This window comes from Homo sapiens, chromosome 3 (genome assembly GCF_000001405.40).
Source record: "Homo sapiens chromosome 3, GRCh38.p14 Primary Assembly".
NCBI lineage: Eukaryota > Metazoa > Chordata > Mammalia > Primates > Hominidae > Homo > Homo sapiens.
Window position 1 is genome coordinate 174,133,665 of NC_000003.12, and position 12,132 is coordinate 174,145,796.

The 12,132-nt window shown below is 34.6% G+C and overlaps 1 protein-coding gene across 36 annotated transcripts in view; it reads left to right on the top strand.

Moving 5' to 3' along the window:
• Positions 1-12,132, top strand: part of NLGN1 (neuroligin 1) — an 898,421-nt gene that overhangs the window by 737,713 nt on the left and 148,576 nt on the right. For 3 of the 36 annotated variants that reach the window (XM_047447713.1, XM_047447714.1, XM_011512553.3), the window contains exon 1: positions 2,798-2,916. The exons of the other annotated variants lie outside the window; for them this stretch is intronic. The gene's annotated coding sequence lies outside the window, so the exon portion shown is untranslated. Of the gene's footprint in view, positions 1-2,797; positions 2,917-12,132 lie in introns of those variants that run through there. 36 annotated transcript variants of the gene reach the window in all.

Consider the following 12,132-nt stretch of genomic DNA (forward strand, 5'->3'; position numbering starts at 1 on the left):
TAAGAGCTGAAGATCTTAGTTATTCCTCTGACTGTAAGAGCAAACTCGCACACTTCCCAAAGACAAGCAGTAAGTTTTTGGAGGCAGATTGTCGGAAGTCCCATAAGATAAAACCTTTGCCTAGCTCCCTTCTTAATTAGCAAGATTATCTTTCTCACAATGGAGTATTTCTTATCATACAAAACAAGATGTGCTTTTTCTTTATCTCTCCCCCACCACACCCCACAAAACACACACACACACACACACACACACACACACATATTTTTTACTTGAGCCTTTTTAAGATTTAGAAGCAGACCTGAATAAGTTATTCTAATACCTGGACAAAGCTTTAAAGCCACTGCTAATAAGATTTTAGACTGTTAATAAGTTCATAGGCAAGGTCTTCCTCCTCCTCAGCTTTAATCTTGAAGGTGAAGGAAAAAGACAAATTATATTTTATTGTACCCACAAAACGAAAAGAAACAGTTGCGATTAAAGGACAGAAATAGGAGAATTACTGACTTAAGTAAACATTAAGAAAAGAATCAAAAGGATCATTTTAGAAAATGGCAGATGGGAAAGCCAGTTTGCAAAACATTAAGGAGTGACTGGCTGCCGGGGAATTGGTGAGGTTAAAAACCAACAGCGCTTTTGTGAGATCTTAGGGTGAAACTGAGAGAGAAATGGAAAAGCAGCATGACCCATCTTATTTGGTTATCAATTCAACACTTTCATGTACATGAAGCAATTTATTTAGCCAAAACATTAAATAAATCATCTGGGGGAGCTTTATAATTTAAATTATATCTGCATTTAACACATTACGGATGAAAAAAAGTCTGTGTTTCTTTCCAAATCTGAATGAGATATACTGTCCCCTTCCAGACTTTATACTGAAGGACTAAGAAACCAGTCTCATGGTGGGTGCCCAAAATGACATTACATGAAGAGGCTGAAGCATGTGAAGTAGTGAGAGAAACTTGATTCTTCTTGGTATTTCTACATAGCCCCCCAAAAGCCTGCAACTTCAAGATAAATGACTTGAAGCTGGATAGTGTGGACCCTGGCAATTCTGAGGAAACTCTCGTATGCCACCAGGAAAGTAAGGACTGGATCAATTTCTCATACACAGTTAAATGCGACCTGACCAGTGGAGACACAAGTGGGTGCCCAGGTAAAAGCAGAGGCGAAGGTCTAATTCCATATTCCCAGATATCCAGCAAATTTTTGGAAGCATATGCAAGAAAGATTAAGGCTGTGCCTTTCTACTGTATTCCTGGAGGAGCTGGCACCCTGTCTGATATTTATGCTTCCTTTTCAGAAACAATTGTAGGTACTTCTGACATAGAAAAAAACCCCGCAATTTAGTGTTCTGCCAAAGTTCTGAGATTATTAAAACCATTTTCCTAATGTCTTTATTATAATACCTATCATTCTGATCATCCCACGTGTAACACTATTGTTTCTTAAGATTTCTAATGCATCTTAATCAGACATTTGGTATCCTAAATTAACCATTATTGAGGCAATTTCATGGAGGTTGTATTTCTCAGAATCTTTATTTTAAATAGTTTATTAGGTAAATGTCTGAAAATACTGAGCAAACTGATAAGGTAAAAAACATTTGTTTTTATTTTTTGACAAATGAAATTGTAAGTAGTTAGCTAGAACATACGATAGAATTGTTTTTGGTTACATCCTAATGATAGGCAGAGGACATAAAGGTGTAACATGTTTCAAGGTAAACAGTTAAATATGCTCGAAAGGGAGCAGTAGTTGTCTAGAGAATATGTGGCTTAAAGCAAATATTTTTCTAACCCTCGAGAGATGTTAATGATTCCTATTAATAACACAGATAAATCTTTGAAATAACAAGCTTTTTTATTCACTCTAGTTTTTAGTAAATGGGTTTGAAGTGCTAACAGTTTTGACTTTTAAAAGAATATTTGGTTATTTCCAGATCTTCTGTGTAACAGAATTTACATATTTACAGTAGTTGAAATATGACCTAATAGAATACCAGGGAATACAGGATCCAGTGCTGGAATCGTCACTGTGGTCATTTGATACTTAGTTTAACTAAAATAAAAATTGAATTTTATATACTGCTATGTACGTGAGACAAAATTTACCGATCAAGAACTATCTTGACTAAGTAATTCCTTATTATTTTAAGCTAGTACTTTTAGGAAAAGCCATTTTTAAGATTCAGACCCAGATCAAATCTGGTGAAATAATAAAATGGGAACTATTATTACTGTAGCATTGAAAATTGAGATTCAATAAGTAAAAAGTGACTACTATTTGCAGGCCGCTGTTATTAAATTTTAAAATTCTACCTCTCGCTTCTTCTTTCTGCCTGAACATGGCTTAATTTATCTTCTAATATGTTTAAAGCCATGCATGCTTGTGGAGGGCTTTGATCTTTGCTTCCTCTGGAAATAATTTTGAAATTGCAAGATTGGAACAGTCCTCAATTTCTGAACATCTGCAGCAGGATACAATAGATATAGGTTACAAAAGATGTTTGTAAGTTCCAAAAATACATATCTGATATATTGGTGGAATGTTCACATTAATATTAAGAACAGGAAAATAAAAGGCACATAGCAATACATACTATTGGGTGTTTGTTACCCCCACTTTCAGATACTGTAGGAAATAACTACATTTGAATAAATACTTCAGCCTGTTTCCATGACCCTATCCCTAAACTGATACGCTTCAGTATTATTAAATTGGGACTTAGGTCATTGTTTTGTGAGGTCACAAAGCCATATAAGATATAGGAGAAAATTGACACTTACTGGGTGGGCAGAGCAACATTGTTTTGACAGTGAAAATTACCAATTTATAATTTTTTAAGAAAAGCATGCCTAGCACAGACCACCTGATTACCAAGAGGAAGCTGAAGAGGAGATTCTACTAGAGGTAAGGAAGAGATATTGTTTTCTTGACTCTGTTCATTAGGTTCAGGGTAAGCAACTCTATTTACCAAGAATAAGCTAGCTCTCTTTCATTTGAAAATATGTCTGCCCAGGTAGGCCTGCAGACATAACAATGTTAAAAACAGGTAGCTTTATTGCAGCACTTATCAGTACCTTGACTATTCAAAGGTGTTAATATGCCAGGTTTCCCAAAGTAATTAATTTTTATCTTACAGAATATTTGTTCCATTTACATAGTTTGGGAAACACAGCCATAAATGTTACAGATGCTCCTTGACTAATGATGGGGTTGCATTTCAATAATGCCATCATAAGTTGAAAATACCGTAAATGGAAAGTGCATTTAATACATCTAACCTACCAAACATAGCTTAGCCTAGCCTATCTTAAGCATGTTCAAAACACTTACATTAGTCTACAGAGGCAAAATCATCTAACAAAAAGCCTATATATATGATAAGGTGTTGAATATCTCATGTAATTTATTGACTACCGTGCTGAAAGTGAAAAACAGAATGGTTATAAGGACACTCACCATTAACATTCGCAGTTGAAACCACCATTGCAAAGTTGAAAAATCATAAGTGGAACCATCCTAAATTGAGGACTGTCTGTATTTTCTTGGATATTTCCTGAAATATGTTTCTATGTGTTTCCATCTAATAGAAAATGGAATATACCAGCAAGCAAAATGTCTAAATATTTATTTCAACCCCTGCGTGGTTTCCTAAGGCTGTTTAAACCTTAAATTCTAATATTAGGATTGGATATGACATAATTTTATAGTAAAGATTGGTTTAGAAGTCACTAATCTAGGTTTTAATCTAGACTCTACCTAATTAACTAGCCATATGACCTTGGAAAACTAATGTCAACCTTCTGAACCTTAGTTTTTCATCTTTTATATGAGAGCACTAAAATCTACTTTGGCAAACTTGCTGGATTGTTGGAAATCTCAAATAAGGTCATGGTACTGAAACAATTTTAAAAACTCTCACATCAAGGGATTATTTTTATGCTCTACCAGAAATTATATGTGTCATTTAATGCCTGAGGATAAGAAAAGACTGTAAATATGCATAATGAATCAAGACAGCCATATTAATTTTGATATGTCTTTGTGGGAAAATACCTATAGTTCTATATTATTTTATCTGTTTTACATGTGGGAAAACATAAATCTGAAAAGGAAAATCATTACTTCTGGTCTTATTAGGTAGAAAGGGGCATTACTATCTATTCCAGCTCCTGATTTCTGGGAATAAACAAAAACAGACTTTATTTGCACATATGGTGCCTAAACTGTTCTAGAAATCATTTATCTGGTAACATTTGGCAAAGTGTCACTCTACTTGTTAACATCATTAGCATAGAAGAAATTGATCACTCCAATTGCTCTGCTAATCCATTTGACTCGAAGTTAGAAATGACACTATTTTCTAGCAATTCTGTTTGTTATTCTATAAGCATCATTCCAAACATTTGGAGGCTTCAAGTCCCCTAATATAATGTTTTAGATGAACTGTTAAAAACTTGGCATTGGGGTAAATAAATAGTTTAATAGCACGTTTGGTCTCAAAGGAATTTACCCGCATACTATATATATAGCAGTTATTTGAAATTTGGCATAGAAATTTAGTTCCCAATGTTTAAGGTCTCTTGGTAAGTCAATTCAAGTTATCAGAAAAAAATGTTGGTTGCCACAATGTATGCAAATTATTTTCAATAATGTTGTTTTTACCCTCTCAAGCCTTCATTTTAGTTGTAATTTAGAATATAATTGAATTATTTTGTTATAATTTACTCTACATTCACTAGTACTGCTTTCTACTATTCTTTTTTTTTTTTTTTTTGTGAGACAGAATGTCGCTCCGTCGCCGAGGCTGGAGTGTAGTGGCGCCATCTCTGCACACTACAAGCTCCGCCTCCCAGGTTCACGCCATTCTCCTGCCTCAGCCTCCCAAATAGCTGGGACGACAGGCCCCCGCCACCACGCCCGGCTAATTTTTTGTATTTTTAGTAGAGATGGGGTTTCACCGTGTTAGCCAGGATGGTCTTGATCTCCTGACCTCGTGATCCGCCCGCCTCGGCCTCCCAAAGTGCTGGGATTACAGGTGTGAGCCACCACAAACAGCTTCTACTATTCTTAAGATTTAGTTCTTTATGCACAGCTGCATAATTCTAGGTGTTTTTACAAGATATTGAGTATATTGCTTTACTTATCAATCTTTATTTCCTCATTTTTGGCTCTTTGCAAAATGGGAAAAAAAAGGGAAAAGGTGGTGCTGAAGGTAAAAAAATTAAATTATCTGGTTTAATTAAGTTCAGGCAGTAAACTTAAAACTTCTTTAAATTTAAACTTAATTCTCTGGTTGTTTTATAATCATGGCTAAAGAATATAGAAGCCAAACATACTTTTAATACCCAGTTACAAAATATTTTGTAGTAAAATTAAAATCTATGTTGTACTAAAACTAAGTATATTGCACATCTTGCACAAGTGATGATAATTGACACATCTTTATCACTCAGAGTCCCTGGTGTACCTTAGGGTTCATTCTCGGTGTTGTACGTTCTGTGGGTTTGGACAAATATATATTGACATATGTACACCATTGTAGTATCATACAGAATAGTTTCACCGTCCTAAAAATCTGTTGTATCTGCCTATTTCTACCTTCCTCCTAATCCCTGGCAATCACTGACCTTTTTACTGTCTCCGTAGTTTGGGGATTTTTCCAGGAAGACATATAATTGGAATCACACGATACATAGCTTTTTCTGATTGTCATATTTAACTTAGTGATATGCATTTAAGTTTCCTCCATGTCTTTTTATGGCTTGATAGCTTATTTTTTTTTTAGCACTGAATAATATTCCCTTGTCTGGATGCATCACAGTTGATTTATCCATTCTTCTACTGAAGGACATCTTGCTTACTTCCAAGTTTTGGCAATTATGAATAAAGATACTATATCTCAGTGCAGGTTTTCGTGTGGACCTAGGTTTCCAACTCCTTTGGATAAATAAAAAGGGGAAAAATGCTGGATTGTATGGTAAGAGTATGTTTAGTTTGGTAAGAAACGCCAAAATGTCTCCTAAAGTGGTGGTACCATTTTGCATTCCCACCAGCAATAAAAGAGGGTTCCTGTTGTTTCACATCCTCAACAGCATGTGATGTTGTCAGTGTTCTGGATTTTGGCCATTCTAATAGATATGTAGAAATACCTTATTGTGGTTTTACTTAGCAATTCCCTAATCTTTTCATATGCTTACTTACCATTTGAACATCTTCTTTAGTGAGGTGTCTATTTAAGTCTTTTGTTCATTTTAAAATCATGTTGCTCATTTTCTTACTGTTGAGCTTTGAAAGTTCTTTGTATATTTTAGATAACAGTTATTTATCAGATGTGTCATTTGCAAATATTTCTCTCAGTCTGTGGCTTATCTTGTTCTTCTCTTTACCAGATGCTTTTCTTCTGTTGAAATATTAGCTGTACTTTTAGGGGGATTTGCTATATATTATTTATTTAACACCTTTAAAAACATTTGTAATATTAGACAAGCAAAATTTTATTATAAGGCTTTAAACATAGAGTTCATCTGTGATTTTTTTTGCCAGATAAATTTATATACTAGCTTGAATATTTCTAGAACAGTTTCTAAATTTGTTTTAGATGTGTTCATTACCTAGAGTTAGGTTTTAGTAGATATCTTTTAACATATTCATTATTTATTTCATGCAGAACTTGAGTTAGATAAATTAATCTTTATTCTTAAAGTTTCATAGTTTGGGTAAATGGTAGTAATATTTATTGAGCATATATTATTTGCTGGATGTATTTTAAGTATTTTATATGAATTATTTTATTCAGTCCTCAAAACCCTAGGAGACAGGGAATATTATTTTCATCCCCATTTTATGGATGAGGAAATGAGGCAAAAAGAAAGTAAATTTCTGAATGTCATACAACCCATACATGAGTGGAAGAGTAGTGTCCAAATCCAAGCAATATGGTTCAGCAATGGGCTTAGCCATTACTCCACGTTACTATATGTCATCTTCCACCTTCTGGAACATTAAAATTCTTGAATTGCTCTTGGTTGACAATATCCTCTTTAGTTTTCCATGTCATGGATTATTTTTTAAAAATCAGTGATTTTTACAAAGATTAAATTTTGAAGAAGGAGCTGGGTGAAAGTTATCATTTCAATTAGGCTATTCTTTTATTAAGTGTTCACAAATTTTATAGCCAAAAGTTGAATAATTTTGTATAACTCTATGATTGGGAAAAATTATATTAGTTAATGACTCAATTTTGGGAATTGATGTTAGAAATTTATTTTTAATCTCTATATTAAAGTATTATCATTTGTTATTTCTAGAATAGTTAAAAGCCAAATAGTGCAATTTCAGTTAAAGGAAAATTTTAAAATGCTTATGTTAAATGTTGTTTAATGGCTTCTTAGCTCATCTTATAATTGTTACACTTCACTTAACATTTTTCTGGTTTTCTTTAGTAATTAAGTACTTCAGGCTTTTCCATGCCATTTAAGTAATAGTTTTTACACTGTTTTATATTAAGAAATTAACAAGAAAAAGACTTTTTTTTAAAATGCAAGCAAATCATTTTTCAGGCAGTTAACAGGAATAGGATTATATCCTTCAGGAAATTTATAAGTAATTTTCCTATCCAGTAATAAAATAAATGAGAGGAGGTTGCTGAAGTGTTTCCTAATCTTTCATCTTGTCACATTAGGATTCATTTAAATGCCAAAATTCAAAATGTCTCATGTGAAGAAGAAAAAAAATCGCACATGTCAATGACCAAATATACAAGGAAGAACAGTGGGTGCATGTATGGGAAATTTGGTTTGATAAGAAAATGGTTTCATTCACTGAACATACAATGTTGAACAAATGTAATTGAAATCTAAGATACTTAAGGAAAAGATCCATATGTACCTGAAAATGTCTTCCTCATAGTACTCTGGAGCTATATTTGTAATAAATATCTGCTGGTGGTTCATTAAGTCAACAAATATGTTTAGTACCTACTAATTGCTAGAGAGTCTCCTATCCTGAGCTCTCAACCACAGAAGCCACGTGCCAGCTTTGTGAAGCCTGCAGTCTGCTAGAGAAGTGGGGAGAGATGAACAATAAATAGATCAGCATTAAATTAATAAGGTCATTTCAGGTAATTGTAAGTTATGAGAAAATAAAACAGGATATGATACAGAAGGACTAATGGTTTATATTTTAGTTTTTAAATTAAATGTTAAACACATGAAAAATGTTATTATTTGATACTACATTTATATTATTTATTTCATGTGTATATCACATATATAAAACCAAAACACACGGCTTCTTAAAATCTAGTGAAGAAATCAAACATTTAAATCCCCTATGTACCCTTCTAATCTCAACTTTCCCCCTACCCTCACCTCTAGAAGTTGCCACCATTTTTACTTTTGTGTTTATCACTTGCTTAGTTTCCCTAATTATTTTACCACATATACCTGTACCTAAATATATAGTATCATTTTGTATGTTTAATATATTGTATAAATGAAAGCATACTCTTGTTTAATAACTGCCTTTTGAGGGTCTACATTTTGTTTTAGACATTCATCTATGTTGATGCATATTCATTTGTTTTTCAATACTAGGCATAATAATTCACTATATGAATTCATCAGAGTGTATTTATCCATTCTTTCTTGATTGGCATTTAGTTTGCTTCCAGATTGTTTGTTTTTCTCTTTAATTGCCATTACAGCTGATGCAGCTCTGATCCTTTTTGATCACACTTTTGACCTGATACATATGTATAAGTCGTTCTCAATGGGTATGTGCCTAGGTGTAGTTTCTGAGTTAAAAGGTATGTTAGTACAAATTTTCTAAATAAATTTTCTGGTTTGTTTCAAGCAGCAGTACTGATTTACAGTAGAAATGTGAACTTAGAAGCAGAATGCTCTCCACAGAGAATACAAGCAAAGGCCCTGAGGTAGAATGAGCTTGGCGTATTCTAGGAAGAGAAAGAAAGACAAAGAACTAAAACATAGCAAGACATCTAAAAGCCAAAAAAAGGGTTAAATCAGGGCATTATAGGACATTTGAAATAGGAATCAGGATGAAGAACATATAATTTTATGCACAACACTAAATTATTGGTACAAAGACATATGCATTTATATTATATGCGTGTTCTTGCACTGCTATAAAGAAATACCTGAGGCTGGATAATTTATAAAGAAAAGAGGTTTATTTGGCTCACAGTTTTGCAGGCTGTACAGGAGGCATGGTGATTGCATCTGCTTCTGGTGAGGCCTCAGGAAACTTACAATCATGGTGGCAGGCAACAGGAAGCCAGCATGTCACATGGCAAGAGAAGGAGCAAGACAGAGAACGAGGAGGTCTCAGACTGTTTGAAACAATGAGATCTCATGTGAACTAATTCAGTGAGAACTCACTCATCACCACAGGGATGGTGCTAAACCATTCGTGAGGGATCCACTCCATCAATCCAATCACCTCCCACCAGGCCCCACCTCCAATACTGGGAATCACAATCCCAGAGAATAGGAGAGGACATCCAAACCATATCAATCAGTAATATTATTTATATTAAATAGTACATAAATACTGTTTAATAAGGAATTTATGGGCTACTGCAGATTTTATAGAGCAGGAAGACAAGTGAAGCCACTGTTAGCCACAGGGAAAGTTTTATTTAAGAACTTCATTCAAGTTATGAAACCAAAGTGAAGAGAATGACAGAAACCAAAGATGCTATGATTATTATTTGGTCGTAACTTTACAATTATCACCTCGACAAAGGGCATATCTGGTCTCCCTCAAGATGTCGCCTTTCATAATCTCTGTATTCCAAGTGGAATCAGTAATTGCATAGCCTGAGCAGCAGTTTTTGTGCTAAAAAGCAGCCAGCAAAAAAGACTTCTATTACATGAAAGCTTAGCCTTCTATATTTACTTCAGTTTGACTTTATGACTTGCTGATGGAGATTTGGTGGGGGGGTATACAGCATCTCCCCACAATGCACTCTTTGGCAAAACCACAGAGAAATAGTCTATGTATAAAATTACGGTCAGTCACTTCAACCTTCAATGTGTTTATTTTCTTCCATCAGACACAAGTTTAGGATTGGTTAACAAATTCTTCATAGCAGGAATTAATTACTGAATAAACAACATCTATGAAGCTGAATAATGCAATGTTGCTTGATTAATTAGTGTACCAATTTTTTTTAATTTTAGACTTAGATGCTTTCTTGCATTCTTGTTTCAATTGATAGTTTTTTTATTATTATTATACTTTAAGCTCTGGGATACATGTACAGAGCATGCAGGTTTGTTACATAGGTATACACGTGACATGGTGGTTTGCTGCACCCATCAACCCATCATCTACATTAAGTATTTCTCCTAATGCTATCCTCCCCTAGCCTCCCACCCTCTGACATGCCACAGTGTGTGATGTTCCCCTCCCTGTGTCCATGTGTTCTCATTGTTCAACTCCTACTTATGAGTGAGAACATGCAGTGTTTGGTTTTCTGTTCCTGTGTTAGTTTGCTGAGAATGATGGTTTCCAGCTTCATCCATGTCCCTGCAAACAACATGAACTCATCCTTTTTTATGGCTGCATAGTATTCCATGGTGTATATGTGCCACATTTTCTTTATCCAGTCTATCATTGATGGGCATTTGGGTTGGTTTCAAGTCTTTGCTATTGTGAATCATGCTGCAATAAACATACATGTGCATGTGTCTTTATAGTAGAATGATTTATAATCCTTTGGGTATATACCCAGTAATGGGATTGCTGGGTCAAATGGTATTTCTGGTTCTAGATCCTTGAGGAATCACCACACTGTCTTCCACAACGGCTGAACTAATTTACACTCCCACCAACAGTGTAAAAGCATTCCTATTTCTCCACATCCTCTCCAGCATCCTTTGTTTCCTGACTTTTTAATGATCGCCATTCTAGCTGGTGTGAGATGGTATCTCATTGTGGTTTTGATTTGCATTTCTCTAATGACCAGTGATGATGAGCTTTTTTTCATATGTTTGTTGGCCACATAAATATCTTCTTTTGAGAAGTGTCTGTTCATATCCTTTGCCCACTTTTTGATGGGGTCTTGTAAATTGGTTTAAGTTCCTTGTAGATTCTGGATATTAGCCCTTTGTCAGATGGATAGATTGCAAAAATTTTCTCACATTATGTAGGTGGCTGTTCACTCTAATGATAGTTTCTTTTGCTGTGCAGAAGCTCTTTAGTTTAATTAGATCCCATTTGTCAATTTTGGCCTTTGTTGCTATTGCTTTTGGTGTTTTATTCATGAAGTCTTTGCCCATGCCTATGTCCTGAATGATATTGCCTAGGTTTTTTTCTAGGGTTTTTATGGTTTTAGGTCTTACATTTAAGTCTTTAATTCATCTTGAGTTAATTTTTGTATAAGGTGTAAGGAAGGGGTCCAGTTTTAGTTTTCTGCATATGGCTAGCCAGTTTTCCCAACACCACTTATTAAATAGGGAATCCTTTCCCCATTGCTTGTTTTTGTTACCTATTTTGTATTTACAGAAATAAGATGTTTAAGATAAGACAGACGGTCAGGAACAGTGTCTCACGCCTGTAATCACAGCACTTTGAGAGGCAGAGGTGGGTGGATCATGATGTCAAGAGACCGAGACCATCCTGGCCAACATGATGAAAACCCTTCTCTACTAAAAATACAAAAATTAGCTGGGCTTGGTGGCGCGCACCTGTAGTTCCAGTTACTCAGAAGGCTGAGGCAGGAGAATTGCTTGAATCCGGGAAGCAGGGGTTCCGGTGAGCCAAGATGGCGCCACTGCACTCCAGCCTGGTGACAGAGTGAGACTTCATCTCAAAAAAAAGAAAAAGAAAAAAAACAGATAAAATAGACAAAATAGTTAAACAAAAAGGCATTGAAAAACATATATTACACCTGCTTTTTAAAAATGAATCATCATTCTTGTCTTTGACATTGCTACTTGCATTTTGCAGCACATTTGATTGTATTCCAATAGAATTCTCCTTTTTAAAAGACTAGATAATGCTCTGAAAGTCTAGGACATGGCTATCATTCTTGATTAGTAAAATTATAATACATTTTAATAATTTTATGCACTGTAAGGCTAACGGTGCATATAT